Source organism: Homo sapiens, chromosome 18 (genome assembly GCF_000001405.40).
Source record: "Homo sapiens chromosome 18, GRCh38.p14 Primary Assembly".
Taxonomy (NCBI): Eukaryota; Metazoa; Chordata; class Mammalia; order Primates; family Hominidae; genus Homo; species Homo sapiens.
The window spans coordinates 64,172,887-64,195,295 of NC_000018.10; the positions used below are offsets into that span (position 1 = coordinate 64,172,887).

The 22,409-nt window shown below is 40.5% G+C and overlaps 2 long non-coding RNA genes across 2 annotated transcripts in view; one reads left to right on the plus strand and one right to left on the minus strand.

Annotated features, from left to right (window-relative positions):
• Positions 1-22,409, plus strand: part of LINC01924 (long intergenic non-protein coding RNA 1924) — a 319,511-nt gene that overhangs the window by 68,796 nt on the left and 228,306 nt on the right. The window lies entirely within an intron of this gene.
• Positions 8,379-19,936, minus strand: LOC124904357 (uncharacterized). Its single transcript, XR_007066467.1, has 2 exons — positions 19,638-19,936; positions 8,379-8,873 (listed from the first exon to the last, which is right to left on the minus strand). It is a non-coding gene; the product is annotated as an uncharacterized LOC124904357 (long non-coding RNA).

A 22,409-nucleotide genomic window follows, 5' to 3' on the forward strand; every position in this document is an offset into this window, starting at 1 on the left:
CAGGCATTGACTTCTCTCTAGCTATGAAAGTTCGAGATGGCATCTTCTTCCAATATAAGGCTGTTTTGCCTACACTGAAAATCTGTTGTTAAGTGTAGCCACCTTCATCAGTGATCTTAGCTAGATCTTCTGGGGATAACTTGCTGCATCTTTTACATCAACACTTGCTGCTTCACATTGTATTTTTATGTTATAAAGATGACTTCTCTCCTTCAACCTCATGAAACAACCTTTGTTGGCTTCCCATTTTTTTCTTGCAACTTCCTTGCCCCTTTCAGCCTTTATAGAACTGAAGATATTGAGAACCTTGCCCTAGATTGGGCTTCAACTTAAGAGGATGTTGTGGCTTGCTTTATTGTCTATTCAGACCACTAAAAGGTTCTCCATATGGCAATCAGGCTGTTTTGCTTTTTCTGTGCATTTACTGGAGTAGCACTTTCAATTGTTTTTCAAGACCTTTTCCTTTGCATTCACAACTTGGCTAACTGTTTGGCACAAGAGGCCTAGCTTTTGGCCTGTCTTAGCTTTTGACATGCTTTCCTTACTAAGTTTAATCACTCTAGATTTTGATTTAAAGTGAGAGATGTGACACTCTTCCTTTCCCTTGAACACTTAGAGGCCATTGTAGGGCTAGTAATTGGCCTAATTTTAATATTATTGTGTCTCAGGGAATAGGGAGGCCCAAGGAGGAGGAGATAAATGAGGAAATGGCTGGTCGGCAGATCAGTCAGAACACACACACTTATTAAGTTTGCCATCTTGTACGGACAAGGTTTGTGACATTCCAAAACAATTATAATAGTAAAATCGAAGGTTGTTGGTCACAGACATAACAATAATGACAAAGTCTGAAATATCATGAGAATTAACGAAGTGTGACACACAGACACAAGGTGAGCACGTTGTTGGAAAAATGGTGCTGATGGACTTGCCCAACACAGTGTTGCCACAAACTTTCAATTCAATTTAATTGTAAAAAGCACAATGTCTGAGAAGTGCAGTGAAGTGAAGCACAATAAAATGAGGTATGCCCGCAGGTACTTCTTAAGTGAAGTTGGGCTGCGTGGGGATATCTCGGTATAATAATTAGGGAAGCAAATGAATAGGTTGTATTTTCTTGGGGATTACATAGTCCAGAAGAGAGTTTCAGCTATTCTCTCTTTGTCCATACCAAGCAATGTACACTGTACATTTTTTCAGTGTAAGCCCTTCATAGCTAATATTGTAGCAGTTTTTTTTCTTTTTTTTTCATGCCTTGATAACTGTGAATGTTTCCAGTTTTGAGACCTCTTATCAATATTCACAAAGCCTGCTATCCTTAGTTTGATCCAATTCAGTCAGAAGACCTTGGATAAAGTTCTGCCTGATTCTACTACTTACTCACTTGTGGCTTTAGGTAGCATCCACATCCACATCTGTTTCTTTATCTATAAACTAGGAGTAATTCTTGCCCTGCCTAACACTGAAACTTGTGTTCATGTATGCCAATACACATAAAAGCACTCTCATTTAAACCCCTCAGCTGATCTACCACCTTCTCATAGCAATTATTTCTTTGTCAGATGCTCAGCTGTAATTAAACCAGTGTGTAGGCTAACTTATACAATCTTTGCTCTGCTGACATTTACAGAATACTGGCTGTATGTGAGCCTTGACCATCTGTGATTTGCTGTCTTTTAAATGAGGGACCTGGAGTTGTATAAGATAAGACCCATGGCCTACGGGAACTCACATAAAGTAAGAGAGACAGACATATCAACAAGTTTAATAAATGTGATAAGTATTTTAGGGAAGTTTATATAGAGTGCTGTGGTGAACAATACAGGGAATTAGAAAAGTTTTTAAAATGAAGATGTTGAACTGGATCTTTGCCACGGCATCCTGCTCTTCTAGATTTTCCTCCACTTTTCCTCCATTAAATCACTTGCATCATATACTACAAATTTCAGCTTTCTCCCAAATCTTCTCAGATTACTGTATCTTCATGTTTTCTAGTGTTTTGTACTCAAATTTTTATTACATTGCATTTCCTTCTAAAGTGGTAGAGTGGGAGTGTTTTTTAGTTATTGAATAGTATAAATCTTATTAGCAGAGACAAAATACTAAATTTATTTTCTACTCTTCCCTCTTACTATTTGGGAAAATAACTGGCATCCTCTGTTGGACCTTTAAATGATGATGCTCTGTCTTCTTTCTGGACTCCCTCTCTCTTTCTCTCTACCCTTACCTGCCAATACTGTGATAATTATCCTTAAATGTATATCTTCAGCCAAGATCTATCTTCTGAGTTACTGATGCTCCTGACTTTACACCTCACCCTGGATGTTTGAAGTCTGCATAAATGACACGGCTCCGATGAGTGAAGGAACACCAGGGTCCGTAGTCTTGTGTCGAATTGGGTACAATGACATGGGCACATGTGGAGTGTTTTTAAGGAGCAGAGAGTTTAATAGGTGAGAAAGAAGGAAGAAGCGCCCCATATAGAGACAGAGGGAGGGGGCTCTAAACCCTAGAGATGAAACCTGGTGTTCAGAAGAAAAGTGGCTGCTTATATGAGGAGGCTGGAGGAGATGGTGTCTGATTGCATAGGGCTCAGGGGATTGGTTGACCAGGAATGTCATTCACGTAGCCCACGACAAAACTGGCCCTCCCACCCTAGCTTTTTAATATGCAAATGCAGGGCGCCATGATGTTCTACACAGGTGGGATATGTGGGGGAAGCCATGTTGCCAGGCACGTGCATGGGCAAGGAAGAAGAAGGCTGGAATCGCCATGTTTGGGTGGAGCCAGTTTCTAATGGCTTGTATTTGCATATCAAAGGTTGCCTGCCCTGCTCTAAGAGCTGGGGCTTTCCTGCTAGACAAGAAACGTTTCTGGGGCTGCTTTAAAAACAACAAAAACGTCCCAAGGACTCCTTTTCCTTTTTATCTGCCTAAAATAATTTCTTAATAACTCCTATAACATTACAAACTGGGTAAAACTAAAAAGAAACATATGTCCTCCCACCACTGTGTGCCCCAGCATGCCCTGGCCAGGAATCTGCTCTCCCTTAAGGTGCTACTTACCAGTAAATGCACGTGATTGCTCCAGAGAGGAGCCTGGGAGACCCCTCTCCTCTCCCGCTCATCCCCTATTTCCAAATACTGACTGTGTCCTATTAAATATATTCTGTTTGCCTCTATTAATCTTATCAACTGCTCTTACTCAAAGCAGTTGATAATGACATCTGTTTAGTTCTCAGACTTGCAAATCAAAACTTAACTATTATATCTGTGTAGTTTTCCTCCTCTGCAGGGAGTCATCAAAGCATTAGAATCAGGTGATCGTATACTTGATAGGCTTACAGGGTGTCAGCAATGGATTTGAGATATACCTAATGGCTATAATCATCTCACTGGCCCGCCAAACTGAAGCAATTAAATATATATGTAAATTTTCCCCCCATATAATCAGTTTTTTACGTGTGTGTTATAACATTGAAAAATTAAAGTCTTAGGTGAAGCATTTTCTGCAGTAATGAAATTTTTCTATTGTAAATGATACATGTCTCTACTTTCTTAAATGAAACATCCTGAACATAATAATTCAATATTTCCTTGAAGAGTCAAAATTGACATTTTGGATATCAGTTATTTTATTATTGTACAATTTTTTTTTTTTTTTTTTGAGATGGAATCTCGCTCTGTTGCCCAGGCTGGAGTGCAGTGGTGTGATCTCGGCTCACTGCAAGCTCCACCTGCTGGGATCATGCCATTCTCCTGCCTCAGCCTCTGGAGTAGCTGGGATTACAGGCACCCACCACCAAGCCCGGCTAATTTTTTGTATTTTTAGTAGAGACGGGGTTTCACTGTGTTAGCCAGGATGGTCTCGATCTCCTGACCTCGTGATCCACCAGTCTCGGCCTCCCAAAGTGCTGGGATTACAGGCATGAGCTACCGCGCCTGGCCTATTGTACAATATGTTGATGCCTTCTGTTTAGTTGTGTAGGCCTATTGCCTGTTCACTAAATGATCATATACACCTATAACTTTAAAGTTTGTGCTTTTATTTTTATCGTTTTTATATCGGACTCAATGTGTCTTTGTAAAATTACATGTTCCTAAAGAGGTGGATCTATCAAGTTTTCTTTACACAGCTCTTAGCACAGAGCTTGCCTAAGTAAGTTAGGGGATTACTTTTAAAGGTAAAAGTATTTGAAGCCATTAAGTTTTATTTATATATTTATTTATTATTTTATTTTATTTTTTGAGATGGAATTTCACTCTGTCACCCAGGCTGGAGTGCAGTGTGGCTCAATCTCAGCTCACTACAACCTCTGCCTCTGGGGCTCCAGGGATTCTCCTGCCTCAGCCTCCTATCTGGGATTACAGGTGCCCACCACCATGCCAGGCTAAGTTTTGTATTTTTAGTAGAGACAGGGTTTCACCATGTTGCCCAGGCTGGTCTGGAAATCCTGACCTCAAGTGATCTGCCCACCTCAGCCTCCCAAAGTGCTGGGATTACAGGCGTGAGCCCCCACACACAACCTAAGCTATGAAGATTTTTTTAAAATTCCATTTTGCGGGAAAAGGAAAATGCTGATCAAGCTAATATAAGTTAATAACTTCATAATTTATCTTTTTTTGTGTATGGAGTTAGATCTTGGGAAATATTTTTTAATCCATAGCATATTTGTACCAATAAAAAAAAGATCTGCAAGGAATAACTTTCCCAATTATAGATAATTTGAAGAATCCTCTTCTACTGATAAGAAAACTGATTTTATGTAGGTTTAAATATATCTGGATGCCACTGCTTTCTCTTCCCATTCCCTTTTCACATACTGTCCTTAACATTTGTCATGGAGAAACAGGTGCATGTTAAAGAGCCCGTTCAAACTGAACACATACACATTTTGCTCCAGGGCAAAGGGGAAAAACAAACACTTATTTCACTGGAAGCAGGATGGCTTGCTGGGATTTCATCCCCTTAGTGCATTGTTGCCCTTCATTTTCTAAAGATAAATACACCAGTGTCCATTGGGTTGGCTTCACGTCTCCAGTTGGCACCTAAACTAACATAATTTCCCTTCTTCATCTTCTTTGTCATCAAGCTACTGAAACCACCATTGCAAATTATAACTGAGACAGTCAAAGAGATCTGATCTAACCAACTCCATCTTGCTTCTGTTTTATTTTATTTATTTATTCTTTTTAGACAGAGTCTCGCTCTGTCGCCCGGGCTGGAGTGCAGTGGCTCAATCTCGGCTCACTGCAACCTCCGCCTCCCAGGTTCCAGCGATTCTCTTGCCTCAGCCTACTGAGTAGCTGGGATTACAGGCACGTGACACCACGCCCAGCTAATTTGTGTATTATTAGTAGAGGGGGGTTTCACCATGTTGGCCAGGCTGGTCTTGAACTCCTGACCTCAGGTGATCCACCCGCCTTGGCCTCCCAAAGTGTTGGGATTACAGGTGTGAGCCACTGCACCCGGCCATCTTGCTTATAACCTCCAAACTGTTCTTGTTCATTCCTTGGCATAGGGTGAATTAACTTTGGGAGGAACTCAGTTTATAGTTTAAAAAAAAGATAGCCCTTTGCCAAAACAAGCCTTGCCTTGAGACTAGAGTGCCTTTGTAAGATTAACAAATTATCCACAACATTAGAAATTATGGTTTAGGAGTCATGTAGCTGGAGGCTACAAGATTCTGACCCTCCTGAAACTGCTCCTAAGATCAGTGCTTGAGATGTTTTGCAGACACTGCACTTGATGGATCAGCTGGCACTGCCCAGACTGATAAACTGGCTCATCAGATCTTGTAGCTCCCACCCAGGAACTGACTCAGCACAAGAAGACCGCTTCAGCTCTCTATGATTTCATCTCTGACCTGACCAATCAGCATACCAGGCTCACTGGCTTCCCCCTACACACCAAGTTGTCCTTAAAAGCTCTGATCCCCAAATGCTTGGGTAATAATTCAAGTAATAATAAAATAATTACTCAAATAATTTGAATAATCAAATAATTATTAATTAAATAAGTAATAATAAAATAATTACTCAAATAATTCGAGTAATAATAAAATAATTACTCAAATAATTCGAGTAATAATAAAATAATTACTCAAATAATTCGAGTAATCAAATAATTACTCAAATAATTTGAATAATAATCAAATAATTATTAATTAAATAAGCAATAATAAAATAATCACTCAAATAATTCGAGTAATAATAAAATAATCACTCAAATAATTCAAGTAATAATAAAACAATTACTCAAATAATTCGAGTAATAATAAAACTTTGGTCTCCCACACAGTCAGCTCTGTGTGAATTATTCTTTCTCTATTGCAATTCCCCTATCTTGAGAAATTACCTCTGCCTAGGCAGCAGGCAAGGTGAACCCACTGGGCAGTTACACTACATGTGAATTAGGATGTGGCGGCCCTGGAAATGGTCTTGCCCCAAGCTTAATAAAGGTGCGTCTCCTTAAGGGTGCACTAATTCTAAATATATCAGTAGGATTGCTGCTTACTGGCCATCTTTCTTGGAACAACCCTAGAAAAAGGGTAGCAGGTTCTCTATATCATGGAGATAAAATTTTCCTGGCTACAGCCACAGCAAGAAAAGCTACAACCCAGTGTAGACTCAGCTTGCTCATCATGTCTTGGTCATCGGATATTCAATCTAAGAGACTTACGTCGGTAAAATAGACAGAGCCACCAGCCAACACATTATACTCCCCATCAGCAGCAGGGGCAAGCTCTGACAGACTGGAAAAAAAATTCAAGCCTCATTTGTCAGGCTCCTTTTACTTCTGACATCCTTTTCCTTCTTCCCACCCCCATCAAACCCATTTCATCTTAGATTTCATTTTTAAAATATGGTTACGACATGAGTGGTTGCAGCAAAAATAACAGGGATTTGAACAAAGAAAACTGACAAAAAGTACCCTGGGACAAGTTTGCCTGAAATATAAATTGTTTTTATGCGCACAGACCAGCTTTCTTGCTGGTCTCGAGCTGTCACTTTGGGTTATTTTTATTGTAGTCACTGAGGATGTTAGCTCAAAAGCAAGCAGCTAAGAATGAATGAAGCAGGGAAGGAGAGTGGCAGTGAAAGTCCCTGGATAGCTCAGAGCCAGCCACACACACAGGGGAGTATTTCCCCAGCTCCCCTAGACCCACACACATGCCTGCTTGCATACACACATGTATAAACATGCCCCACATCCCTACATGGTATATGCGTTCCAAAGTCTCATTTTTCTTTCCTCAAATGTATGAGATAAAGGATCAAAGCCAGAAATTTTCTGAGTTCTCAGCTGTGAACAAAGAGAGAAATCAAAATCTTTTTTCTCTCTGCAAGCTTACTTTGAGTTAAAAGAGATGGATGATGTTCAGCTCTTCACCTAAGTATCATGAACTCTCCTCTTCTGAATTTTCCTCCTCTACCTATTGGTCATCATTAGTGTGCTTTACCATTGACTGCAGGGCAGAGTGGTGCCAAACCTACTCCATTAATCAAGCAACAGATGGAGACTTAAAGCCTATGAAACTGGAAAGCTGGAATTCTTTCTTTCTATCCCCTGAGATTTATGAACAGTACCCAGAGACCAGAGTTATTGAGAGATGATCGTGTACTAATAAGCTTTAGAAATGGTGGCTCTTCCTGTGTGTTTGTGTGTAGTTTGATGTGTTTAAACAGCTGAGCAGAAAACTGACTCTGTATTTTCCAAAGTACTTTGCAAAACATATCTTAAATATAAGCTTTGTTTAACATACCAGTGGTATTCTAATACCAGTGCCTAGTGAACACTCTTCATTCCCTGATGTGCTTTTGAATCTAACTTAGTGCTATAGCTGGGAGTGCCTGTTTAATATTTATGGAGACTCACAATGTGTTAAGTACCAAATGGGGCTGATAAGAGTAAATGTTCAAGGATGACTTCATTTTGTTTAATTCCCAGGAAGCAGGAGTGAAATGTATGCGTCACTGGTTAGGAACATGTCTCAGCAGACATTATTCTATAAGGACATTTGACTGAGGCTAACCAAAGGCTGATAGTAGTCATAGCATCCACCAAAATCAGGTATCCCCATTTCTTTATAAAGGCATAGATCTTAAGTGTACAGCTCTGTGGCTTTTACATGCATATATGCACCTGAGTAACCACACCCAGTGAAGACCGGGAGAGTATTTATCACCATATAAGTTGTCTTATGCCCTTTTCCTGCCACTTCCTCCCACTTCCCATACCTAAACCCTTTCTCAGTTCTATAACTATAGATTTGCTTTGTTGATTTATGAACTTCATATAAATAGAATCAATCAGTATATGGTTATGTGTGTCTGCTTTCATTCACTCAATATGTTTTTAACAACAACAACAAATAATAACATGGGAATTCCTTTATTCCTTTGACCTGCTTCCTATGGGTTCTACTTTTTTTTTTCTTTTTTAGAGACAGGGTTTTACTCTGTCACTCAGGCTGGGGTGCAGTGGTATGAACATAGCTCGCTGCAGGCTCAAACTCCTGGGCTCAAGCGATCCTCCTGCGTCAGCCTTCTGAGTAGCTGGGACTGCAGAAGTTCCACTTTTGTCTCTTATATTGTTTCTGCGTGATCCACGGATTCTCTTCTTTGTCCATGCAGTTTTATGTTCCTACACCCTTCCGCATGCTATATTTCATTTCTTTATTGTTATTTGTAGAAAATATTCGATTTCATGGTCTGCAGTTGCTCCAAGTTGCACTTTATGGCGTCTTGATCAGTTCTTGCATATAGTTGAAATACTGAAGCATCCTCCATCAGCTTTTGATTGCCAGCTCTCAGATACCTAGGGAATGTCTTCATTTCTCGTGGTCCCTTGCCCTGAGGTCGCTCTGTTTCCTGAAAAAAGAATAGGTAGAATTACGTAGATCACATTGTGTCTGCCTAAGGGAAACTACTTCCAAGTTAAGTACTACTTCCATAGTTGAGTGCCACCTAAAAAGTATGTCTACTCCTGTGCAAAAGTCATTTTTAAAAAAATTATATTCTCTCAGTGTGTTGAAATCCACATCCTTCCCATCATTTTTACCTTTGACTTTGCTGTCAGGCCTATTTTGGTGGGTAAACATGCTTGGATGACTTTGTAAGATTTTTGGATAAGCTACAACTGTGCTGAAGAAGTGGGGTGGTAACTAGGTCTTTTGGTGGGTGAGCTGACACTTTGCAATTCACATCAACATCCATCAGATTCTGTGCTCACAGCAACATGCCTCTGTGCAGAATTCAGTTGTGCACCGAGTCTGAAAAGTCGTACCAACTGATACTCCCTGGGGAACCTTCCGATCTGCTTTATGGATATCATGCAAACTTGCTCTCAGGCCTTTGAAATCATCCTGAATTCTAGAACTATCTTTTCTCCACTGCACTAAGAGAAAGGTGCCTTAAGGCTCATGGACTCGTATCACACTATGAATCACCGCTTTGGTGGCCAGTCAAGTAGCAACATCTAAAATGATCCTTGCATACATCTCGGAAGGATAGTCAAGACTCACGTTTATTCAGATGCTCAGTACTTGCACAGGAAATTTTATCTCGCATTTTCTTGACTTTATAAGTATTTCCATGCACATCCTTGTTTATGCTACTTGGATTTAGCCTGGGCTGAACTGTCAAAAGCAATTCAACAAGAAGACCAGCACTCTATCTTTAGCATGAAGAAGTAACAATTGTTAAGCTTTAAAGATAATTTAATGTGCTAAGAGGAAGCAAAGGCAATGGTGTTTGCAATACAAATTCAGTGTAAACATGGTTTTTCATTCCCACCTCTTGGGATAAAGTGGTAGAGATGCTAGAAAACCTGAAGCATGCTTATAGGGTAAATGTCATAACCTGTTCAAAAGCCTTTCAAGAAATACAGAGTGTGATCCCCAGCTTTGGGAAACTCTGGTATCTAAACAGAGTCTCTGATTCTTTTTGTTCTTCCTTTATTTTCTCAGTAACCTCTATCCCTCCCTCCTCCCTCCCTCCCTCTGCCTCTCCCTCCTTCTCTCTCCCTTTCACTCTTCCTCCCTCCTCCTCTCTGCTGCTTTCTTTCTTTTCCTTTCTTCTTCACTTTATTTCTTTCATTATTTGGGTGTACCTAGTGTGTACCAAGTATCTTTCCAGCCTTTGTCAATGATCACATTGTCATTGGTCATAAGACAAAGATCCAGTCCTCATGGAACCTGCTTTTCCCTCTCTTTTCCTTCTTCTGCTTTTTCTCTCTTTCTGATTGATTTCATGCCATGCCATTGAACTAAAACTAGAGTAGCTAGTAGTAGAGATAGAGAAGCTATCTTTCTTGATGTTTACATTTCAAAAAGCTGTTTCCCAGGTCTTTGAGAAAGACATTCTGACAAGAGACTGGGAGAAGATTTCAGAGACAGAGAAAGAATTTGCAATTATACGTTTCCTAAAGTAAATTATATAAGAAAAGAAGGGTCAGGGTCCTATAGTCAGGAAGAAACCTGTCTAAAATTTATTCAAGGTGAAGGACTATTAAGGCTGTATTGGTCAATAGTCATCCATTTAATTTGAGTTCTTGATCTGCTTCCTTAAATGCCTGTTGGTTTCGTGAGGAAGGAATATATCTTTAGTTTCTCCTTTCCCTGGGAGTGGTTGTGCTTTCCTCTCTGCTTACCATCCTCCTGCCCTTCTCGCTTAGTGCACCTTCAGTTTCCCTTAGGAACGCACTCTACATCCTGCCAAGCTCATCTCAAAGGGTCCATGGATTTATCAGTTCATCCCTCACCTGACTTTCTTTGTCAAATAATGTGAAGCAGCCCAATCTCATGACTTCCAGCCTTTAGAGAGTCTGAATTTAGCTTATAGTTTCCTAGAAAACAAAGACCATGTTGTGATTGAGCGCTGATTTGAATAGATAAATGGGTTGGTGAGCCTCCCTTTGCCCCAGCAAAGAAGCACTCATTCCCTGACTCAGTGACAAGTCAGCTGACAATGAGAAATGAAGATAATGGGGATATGTGCCTGTCTAAACAATAGACGGCAGAGCAGTCTGTTCCTAGGCATTCTTTGAAATCTGAATATTCAGTGTGTGCATATGTTAAATGTCAAGTATAATTCACTCAAAATTTCAGCTCCAAAGAAAACAAAAAAGCAAGCGTTGGAATCTACAGGAAACAATGGGGAAGGTAACTTATTGAGGTAAGGAGACTCTGGAAGACTTGAAGTTTGAGGAAAGTAAAAGTGTTAAATGTATAAACAAAGACAAGGCAAGTTCCTATAAACATAAACCAAACTGAGAACAACGTCTAAAGAACCTGTAGAAAAGGATCTTGCAGTGGCCAAGGATCGAAGCCTGTGCAGAAATAAAGTTTAGTTCAACTGAATAGGTCTCAGACCCAGAGATCCTTGTGACCTTCATCATAGAGGAAGCTGTAAATCTGTAGTGTTTTGTGATTCTAAGGAGGAGTTACTTGCCTAATCATGAGGAGAAAAAAAGGAAAAACAATTGACAGAAGCTCATGGAGGAAGTCTACTAACAAAAACTTTAGCTCGTACTGAGGGAAGGGAAGCAGAAAAAGTACGCTTGCAGCACTAGACTCCATTTATCTTATTTAGCAGGAACCTTGAGTTCTCAGGTAGGAGTTCAATGGCTGGGTTAATGGGAGGAACAAATTGTTGATTTATAGTGCATGTGCTTTGCAAAAATAGAATAACTGTTGACCTGTTGTCTTAGTGAGTTCAGGCTGTTTTAACAAAATAGCCATAGGCTGGGTGGCTTAACCCACAGAAATTTATTTCTCACAAGTCTTAGAGGCTGAGAAGTCAGAGATCAAGGCACCAACATGGTCAGTTTTTGGTGAGGGCACTCTTTGTGGCTTTAGATGGCCAGCCACATTCTCAGTGTGTCCTCATATGAGGGAGAGAGAGCAAACTCTAGTTTTTTCTTCTCCTTACATGAACATTAATCCCATCGTGGCGGCCCCAACCTCATGAGCTCATCCGAAATGAATTCCTTTCCAAAGGCACCACTTCCAAATCACATTGAGGGGAGAGCTTCAACACAGGTCTTTTGGAAAGACACACACATTCAGTCCATACCACCTGTTAAAGTAAGCACAATAGGCTAATCTATTGAATTAGGTGGCCGGGGCCCAGGCATTCTCTTGCTGTCAGGAATAAATGGTGGTGGAAACAGTCATTCTTTAATGACGCTTCTTTCTTGTTCATCATGGGTGGGGAGAGGGTTGGGGGTTGCTCAGTTCAGGTCATCACATCTGCTCACATTATGTTGAAACCCTTTTTGCCTTTGATGATGTGTTTCTCGGATATCCCTGTGTAGTTTCTTGACTTTTCAGTGACTCTTAATTATAAAAACAGTGTATCGGCCCAGCACAGTGGCTCACATCTGTAATCCCAGCATTTTGGGAGGCTGAGGTGGGCGGATCACCTCAGGTTGGGAGTTCGAAACCAGGCTGGCCAACATGGCGAAACCCCGTCTCTACTGAAAATACAAAAATTAGCCAGGCATGGTGGTGGGCGCCTGTAATCCCAGCTACTTGAGAGGCTGAGGCATGAGAATCACTTGAACCTGGGAGGCAAAGGTTGCAATGAGCCAAGATTGCGCCACTGCACTCCAACCTGGCGACAGAGTGAACTACGTCTCAAAAAAAAAAAGGTAAAAATAAATAAATAAATACAGTGTATCTTGGCCATGAATATTTACATCCATTCCTTTAAAAACTTTAAACTCAAAGCTTTTGTCCTTTCTCTGCAGAGGTCAGATTTGTGGATCTTGCTGACAGCTGTTGGAAGGTGGTAATGTGGAATTCTCTTCTCTGTCACAGCCATTTGATTGGGATGAAGAGGAGAGAAAAACAAAAATAAATGTATTTGTGCCTCAATACAGTGAGTGCCTGTTCTCTTCTGGGCTGGCTACATTTGCTCTGCCTCTGTGTGATCAGCCCTACTTCGCTGGTGATGAGATGTTTGTCCCCTCTCTCCTGGGTGGGGTTTACTTTTCTAACACTGAGAGGCCAAGCCCTTGCTCCTGGGGTCTTATATTATTCAGCTCTCTTGGGAGCTACTTTTGAGGACTTTGAGCCTCTCTGCCTTTTCTAGGTTTTTTTTTTTTAATCTAAATTAAGCACTCTCTTAGCATTTGCTCTCTACTCTCCATCTTCCCAGACCCTGCCCTCACTCCCTGATGCATCTAGATTGGAGCATGTGCTCTGCCGGTTCTGTGACTCACAATTTTCAGGCAAGAAACAAATGATCTGTTGCTGACACAGTGGGAATAGTTTGGGCACCCGTTCATCTACAAGGAGAGGGAGAAATACTCCTATTTGGTGTTCCATAAACTCTAATATTCACTCAAAATACAAACTCTTGGAATCACCCCAAGACTCTGTAATAGGACCCAGTGGTGGATATTCAGAGGGCTGGAGCAGCAGGACTGTAACAGCTGCTTTGCTAAAACGGCACCTTCAGGAACTGTTGTGAAGATTATGGAATGAGGGATGTTTTGCAACCATACCTCCTTTTATTCTCACCTGTGGTCTCTGGTTGACAATTAATGGAAAATATATCTTATAATATATGGAAAGTATATATTTGTATATATTTTTAAATAATATATGTATATATTTTATAATATATACTATATATGTATATATTTTTATAATGTGTATATATATGAGAATGTGGAAAGTATACATATGTGTATATATAATATACAGAAATATATTTACTATTTTTACTTTAAAGGCAATCTATGCTTCCATGATTATAGCTGGTATATGTAGGGGCTAGAGTGTAAGAATTTTATATTGATAGAAGCATTGTTGCTGTAAATACAAGCTACTATTTTGCTGGTTTAAAGTATTAGTTTCTACACACTCCGTGATGTATTTTTGACAACTTAGACAAATTTCACAGTGAACTTTGAGGACTCTAGATACGAGTGTTTCATGTTTTTCTGTGAGGCATTGATTGATGGCTCCTAAAAATAGAATACTAAGGAGAGGAGATGTCAGAAGTCATCCAGACTAGTCCCCTGCTTTTAAGTGCTTAAATTGAGACTGATTGCAGTCTAAACTTCTCCTTCTTCTTTAAAATCCCTCTATAATGGAGCCCCCACAATCTTCTTTGGTGTTGGTTCACTCGAGCATTTTTTTCTAATATCTAATTCAAATCTTTCCTCCTGTGGTGCAAACTTACTTTTTATTTTTATTTTATTTATTTATTTGCAGTTTTAGCTCACAGTCTATTGCTGCAGCTCTTTGACTTTTCCTTTATATTTGATATCAGTGGGGGATAAAAGTAAACATCTGAATTCCCCTCTGACCTAATATTGTGCCCAGAGGCCTCAGGCAGCTTCTAAACCCTGTGGAAACTCAGGGAGAATGGCAGAGGGCTGGAAGGCCGACGGCTCCCTCGTCCCTCCAGAGCCATGGAAGGAAAAAGGGAAAATTGCATGGGAGGGGAGGAAAAGGGAATAGAAAGAGGCAGAAGGGCACACAAGGAGAAAGCAATGGAGTACGTGAAGTCTGAAGACCCTGTGAAGAGGCTGTCCTGCAGTAAGACCAGCATTTCTTCCCCTTTAGGTAGAAAGTGCTGCCTGGGACCGAAACTACCTGAAACTTCCACAGCACCTCGCTGCCCACACCCCTTCCTAACTCATTGAGTGATATATCCTAATCATCCTTTCCCAAAGAAGAGATACTAGTCGTAGGCAGCCCGTCTGCTGGCCTTTTTCACAGGTAGTGTTACGGACAATGCATGTTTAATGTATGGAGAGCAGAGAGAGAAAAGAATGGGACCTATTGGAGACTGTAGTGGAGAAGCAGGCTGAGTATATGAAGGGGAGGTATGGGGTGAAAGATTAAAATAGGGTTTGAAAGGACAACATCTTTGATATGTGAATATGAGTAAAGAGAACTTATAACTTACAGATCAAATTATTTTTTGGTAGCCTTACCTAGTTTTGGTGATTTAAAAAAGGGTCATTAATATTCTTCTATTGAGTTAATAGAAAGTTTTAACATTGTATTTTTAATATCTTAATACAACTACCTACTTTCTCTCTGGCAAGCTAAGATGCATTTATGTCAGCCCAACATGGAAATGTGATTACATTTGCTTCAAAAAAACCAAAAAAAAACCAAAAAACTCACATGGCTGAATAGTGCTCCATCGTTCTTTTCTTTCCTTTTTTTCTACTTCTCTTTCTTGTGCGTGTGTGTGTGTGTGTGTGTTTCATTCTGCCAATGTTATTTCCTTAATAGAAGGAAAGCTGAATATTAAGAAGAAATGACCATTTCTTCACCATTTAATAGTTTAGAATCATGTATACCTAATGAAAGAACTAAGCTAGATTACTTTCCCTAAAATTGTAACTTTATACCCCAAGTTCTTTTTTTTTTGTATTAAAGATAAAAGAGGCTAGAGCAAGGAACCCCTAGTGTATTAAACTTTTATTATTTCCAGACAAGGCAAAATTACAACTCTGATTTCTATTGCACTAGGGAGAATTTAAGACCTCTATACCTACATTTTTAAAAGGTTAGGAAGAACTGTACACAGCTGACATTTCAGTGTATGATCAAAGTGTTCCTCAATCTTAAATATATATTTTAAATGTGTTAGACACACCATCACCTGCTCACTGTAGCATATAAACTTTCCCACATACCACCTGACATTTCCTGACCGAGTGATTTCATTGTTCAGTGTGTCCTACTTTCTGCTTGTCAAGCTACTCTATTTAGCATGATGTCTGTCTAAGAAGGACCTATTTCACACTGGTAACAGATTATATCTGTGCTTCTCTTTCAGATTCCCTATCATTTTTAGATATTTTAAGTGATTATCATCACCCTTTCTTTGGTGGCCTAAAAGGGGGGCAAGAATCCAATTTTTGCAACATCCTAAGTTTAGCACAACAAATGGCAATATTTTCTGCCATATTGTACCTGGTCTGACAGTGTATTTGAAAATTCTGGGAATTAACTGTGATGTGCAATAACTAGTGGTGCTTTTGTTTCCAAATCAAGTTGTCAAAATCAGCAAGGAGTATCTAAGAGACAGGAAAAAATGCTGTAAGGAAGGAGATCACAAGGTCGTGTGTGTTTTTAAAAATCTATGTAGCCCGGATGATTTTGGGTAAATGCACTAATAATCTCTTTGTGAATTTAAGATATCAAAACAATATGATGGGCTGAGACTGCTGGAGACTTAGATGCATAGAAATCCCACAATTCTTATGGAGTAAGTATCATTTTATATACAGACTTCTTTCTTTTGGTGAAATAATTTTAAAAAATTGTGAAATAATGTAGGCACAAATGTCTTAGGTATTGTTTCTTTTCCAGGGTGAGGTTATTTTGCTTAAATTGCACATGAATTGTTGAACATTATTTCAATGATTTCTATTCTATTTTATGGTAAGTCAAATGATACCTTTTTTTTTTTTTCTTAACTTGTGACAGATAGGCAGCTCAATTGAGGAAGCACCACTAAGAAGAGTGTACTGTTTGTTGGAAAGAATCACTGAGGAAAATAGTGGAAAATCGAGAACCCTAGAGAGGGGCCCATGTGTCATGTGCAGCCACTACTGAGCTCTAAGAAGCCTAGCTTCTCTTTGCTTTCTTCTTTCTCCCTCACCTGGAAGCCCAATGTTCAGTTTAGGAAAAGGGAAATTTACTTCAGCAAACATTTACTAAGGGGCTGCCCTGTAAAAACACAGTTATAGTTTTTATGTGGCTAAGAGACAGTTTACTGAGCTGCAGGCATTATCTACAGAGCCTAAAATCTAGGATATTCCTTATATTTTACATATGCATGTGCAGACATATGCTCATGGGTTATATGCAAACAACCACACATTTGTACTAAAGCATTAAATAAGGTTAATAAAAGAAGAACACACATTCATTTTGCTTTGAAAACGGTCCTAGGTTTATCCTGCTTCTTGTTCCCTGTTTCTAGCAGTGGATTGTGGAATACAAAGACTGGCATCTAATTGTGGGTACAGGAAGCACAAATCCCTCCAAGTGAGTCAATAAAAATGATGATGAGAGGGCCCCCCTCATAATTTTTCTCCTTGTTCGTTGATCCTCTATATTTTAACTTTTGAGGGATATGGAGTCAGTATAATATGGTTTATTTAATCTATACTATGTCTTAAACTGTAGCATCTCAACCCCTCAGGGTATTAACTCTTGAGCTGAGCTGTGAGAGGCCATTCCAATGTTTTTAGAGACCAGCAGCTTCGGCATAATACAGTGTGTATTAGTCCATTCTCACGCTGCTATAAGGACATACCCGAGACTGGGTAATTTATAACGGAAAGAGGTTTAATGGACTCACAGTTCCACATGGCTGGGGATGCCTCACAATCATGGCAGGAGGCAAAGGAGGGGCAAAGGCACATCTTACCTGGTGGCAGGCAAGAGAGCTTGTGCAGGGGAATTGCCCTTTATAAAACCATCGGATCTTGTGAGACTTATTCACTATCATGAGAATAGCACGGGAAGGACCTACCCATGATTCCGTTACCACCCACCAGGTTCCTCCCACAACACGTGGGGATTATGGGAGCTACAATTCAAGATGAGATTTGGGTGGGGACAAAGCCAAACCATATTACAGTGCATAAGAAAACTAAAGGATCACATGTTCATGTGGCCATTATCACTTCTTTGGTATAAAGTGGGCTCTTGGTCTTAGGGTATAATTTGCAGTATCTGATATCAAGAAATCACATAGTTTTTGAGCCCTTGCAGAGACACTGCAGACTTTGGGGGGGCGGGAGGAAAAAAAACCCTAGCAAGAATGCATCAGCATCCCCCTCCAGGGTGGAAGGGGCTCTTGTAATCAATTTGCTACCAAGTGGCTGATTGGTCTCCTTGAGGACTCAAAATTAGTCTCTGCTGATTACAGGTCATATATTCATCAGTGGCAGAGGCTTCGGAGACAGACAGCTCATCTCCATCAAGCCATACATAGCCTCCACACTGCCCCTGTGACGATTCCATCCCTGGGTCCTGGAGTGACTGAGGATAGAGGTCAGCTGATGTCACTGGATGGATAACTTTGTGTTTTCTGATTGTTCAGTTTTCATTTGTGGCAAGTGTTCTCTGGACATTGATGTGAGACCTTAAGATCTACACACTTTGCACCAAACCCCGTGGGTCCATTCAATGGCCTCTTCCACAGGCATCCTTGTCCTTGCTCTTACAATATGCCTCCTTTGATGATGCCTCTCACTTTCCAAAATGTTTGCTTTTGGCCAGGAGTTTGTATATATCCTTACCTCAGACCATTTCTTCCTCTATCCAAAGTTGATGCTAAGAGTACTCCTCCAGACTCTGCCCACAGGGCCGGTTTCCCCTCGCCAGTGTGGTTCAGAGTTACCAGTGGACTTGTAGTTTCACAACTCTCCACTATTGGTCTGATACAGTATTTCAAGCTCACCCTTCTGTGAATAAGGTTCAGAGTGCTTTTCCTCTTTCTATCAGATAGCTGTAGGACACTCTCCCCTCCCCCACCTTCCTGTTGTTTTTTTTTTTTTTTTTTCCACCTGAGGCCATTGAAGTAAACTAAGAGAAAAATGTCAGTTTAAAAGAAGTAGATAATATTTGATTTGGGACACTGGTTTAATGTTTGTACTCTGTGAACCTGCATGGCCCAAATTTAGAAATTTCTATTGTCTGTGACATACTGGTACACCTGCTTTGTCTTGTGATTCTGTGGCTACAACAGGTCCTATCTCATGACAAGCATGTCCTAGTGTACAGTCTCGTAGTGCCCCATGTTTCCATCTGAGTCTGTCAGAACCTGGTGGCACATGCTATGGAGACATTTGTGCATAGTGAATAGTTCCGTGCTGCAGAAGGCGTGGGCTTGCCCTGGAACCCTGGAGTTCTACATTACAACTTTTGTTGTGGGTCTTGACAAAAAACCCCACCTAGTGTCCTTGTCTATCATAGATTCTTCTTGAACCATTGACTCTGCCACATCCCGTAACTCATGCTGGAGGGCCACATGTGGCCATGCTGGTGCCACAGTATGAACCTATTAGGAATCCTTTCTTGGTCTGGATCCTGCTCAAAATTTGCAGCCTTCTGAGTCCTCCAACACATGAGTCAGAGCTCTGTGCCTAAGTAATGTATCTTGTCTTCAAAATCTAAAGATAGTTACCAAGCAATGTGACTCTTAACGGTAATAGGTATACTGTAATTAATTTCCCTTATCCTTGGACATGCCCCCAATCACTGAACCCCTAAAATTCTCATTAATGTAGCAGGCCCAGGATTCTTTAAAGGTCTGTCTTTTATCCTCTGGTGTATCTTCTAGCAAACACAGAGACCCAGAGAGTTTGCTCACTTTGCTTCATTAACATGATGTCAACAATGCAGTGAACTGCACTGCAAGATACAGAGGCAGTCAAGCTCACTTTACACTGTGTTGTGATAGAGGGCAGAATACACACCAACTATTTTAGCTGAGAGTTTACCCTAAGGGCTTGGTTAAATAAGTAATGCGAACCTGAAAAAGCAAAGGGGAATATGGAATTAACACAGAGTGAATAACTGTAGAATGTGTTACCTCCCGCCTGGCAGAGGGGAAAATGAAAGAAGTGGGAGTTTTAAAACCTACCTGAGAGGTAAGACCCAGACATCTGAAACGGAGTGTTTGCCAGATGGTGCTGGTGTCTCAGGAGCTTGGAGGGGCTCCCACAATGCTGAACTCAGGTCTCTGAGGAGGGTGCTGATGGGCCATGCCTGGTGTCTCTGAGGCTGCTTCTGAGAATGTGGGAAAAAAAACCTGAACATGGGCCAACTGTGCTTCTGGCACAAACCACCGTGGCTACAGTAATTCTGGAAGAACAGTGAGCAAACTGGAAGAAGCAATGCCCCTTCTTCCTACTCTAGCCTTTCAGTCCGTCTTTGTGCCACCTGTTGGGAACCAATGGCAAAGGAGAAATGGGGTTGGAGAATTCCCAATCAAAGCATCAAAAAGCAAAGTGCAGAAGGAAGGGTTCAGAGCCCAGGAGTAATAACTCAATAACTAGCACATCTCACAAAATAGTAAATAAAAGATGAGGCCAAATAAATCTGTCCAATTCTCACAAATCCAGATTCAACTCCCTTGGATCCTTTATAAGCTGAATTTATATAAGTGCCTTCTAGCTTCTGAAATAGGTGAGTGCCTCAATGCGTTCATTCATTCATTCTTTCTTTCTAAAACAGTGATTATTATTATTACTATTATTATTTTGAGACTGAGTCTTGCTCTATTGTCCAGGCTAGAGTGCAGTGATGTGACCTTGGCTCACTGCAACCTCTGCCTCCTGGGTTCAAGCAATTGTCATGCTTCAGCCTCCCGAGTAGCTGGGATTACAGGTGCCTGCCACCACACCCAGCTAATTTTTGTATTTGTAGTAGAGACGGGGTTTCACCATGTCGGCCAGGCTGGTCTTGAACTCCTGACGTCAAATGATCTGCCTGCCTCACCTCCCAAAGTGCTGGGATTACAGGCATGAGCCACTGTGCCCGGCTTCTAAAACAGTTATTGCAGGTCTGTTGCATGCCACACCCTCTGGCTGGTTGCTTTGTCTTCAAGACTGTTTCACACACATATTTCCTTCAGTCCAACTGGAGCGGTCAGAAAGTAGGAGAAAAGGGCAAGGAAAATAATGATGTAGGCCAAGGAAAAGAGTTTCAGTGAGGAAAAGCATGTTGAACAGTTCCAAATGTGGGGCTGGGCACGGTGACTCATGCCAGTAATCCCCACACCTTGGCAGGCTGAGGTGGGAGGATCCCTTAAGGCCAGGAGTTTGAAACCAGCCTGGGCAACATAGCAAGACCCTGTCTCCACAAAAAATTTTAAAATGAGCCAGGTATGGTGGTGTGTGCCTGCAGTCCCAACTACTTGGGAGGCTGAAGCAGGAAGATCTCTTGAGCCCAGGAGTTTGAATCAGCAATGAGTTATGATTTTTTCACTGTATTCCTGACTGGATGACAGAGTAAGACCCTGTCTCTTAAAAAAAAGAAAAGTCAATAACAAATGAGATGAGTTAAATGAATAAAACCATAATCTCTAAAATGACATATCTGTTTCCAGTTAGAGAAGAAAAGAGCAATTTACCATTGTCAAGGTTATAAGACATTTTGAGTTGATAGTTTCTAATAGAAGAAGGCAAATAATTTTTTAAACAGATATAGTTTGCATAAGAAATAACAACATTGTTTGGAGAAAGAATCAGATAAATTCTAATGGGGAGTCTACTAAAATATGCTGTTCATCGGTGCAGAAAAAAATGCAAAACAGCATGTAAATACAGTTGAAAAAGTGAGTGCCTACAGTTTGCTGCTAATTTAGTCATTCTGGGATGCCTAAGAGGCCCTGCTTTGCTTACATGGTGTTTTCTTTCCTCTGCTTTGTTTGACTTATTGTTAATTGTTTTATTTATTTTTACAATTATCTTAATTAAAACATCTTTTATTTACCGTTCCTCCTCGGATCAAGGCAGAGTGTAATTATAAAAACAAACAGTTAAGTATGTGTGGCATAGTGAAGACTAAGATCATGGTGAGAAGCCAGGACTGATTCCACTGATGTGGGAATAGTAGCCTGGAGGAGCCTGGAAGGCCTGATTAATTCAGAACAAACATAGGGCACCCAGGGACACCTCACATTGAGGAAGGCCCTGAAGGCTGGGTTTTATTTTAGATAAAACAGATTCACACTCTGCGGCTTCTCCACAGTTGATTGGAAGACATCTTCTTGTGCAGGCCTCTGTCCAGGGACCACTTTGCTAGCCATCCTTGTTGCAAAACATCTGCCAGGGAGCATGGGGTGCCCTCCTTGAGAACATGGTCTTCCCTTAGTGCAAATAAAAGAAGCATAGAAATAAGCCATTATTTTAGACTGATTCATCAACACTGGGATTACTGGGGACTTTGCACTGCTTATTCTGATGCAATTGATAACCTGTTAAAACACAATGAGCGGTGGACTTGCTACCATTTAATGTCCTGAAATAGTCTATGCCTTTCTGAATCTGATTTGTACCAGACCGTAAATGGAATGAGGCAATGAAAGTTCTGATGCTCTATATTGAGATGGAGTTTAATGTAAAGCTTTCTTATAGCCTCCTGTTGATTTGAAACCTAGGCATTTCCTTCAATGAACTGCATCTTTTTAATGTTGCTAAGAGAAATGTCAAGTTCAATATCACAAAGTAATGAATTCTTTGCTTATCGTGATAGCTTTTAATAGGAACTATGTACCAAAGTGTAAAATCCTTCATGTTGACATGCATTTTAATAGCAGTACATAATTGTTTTAAGACCATTAAGGAATGAATATGGTGGAAAGCCAATTTTCTTTGTAGTAGTTTTACAGATAGGCAGTTATAAAAGTGGA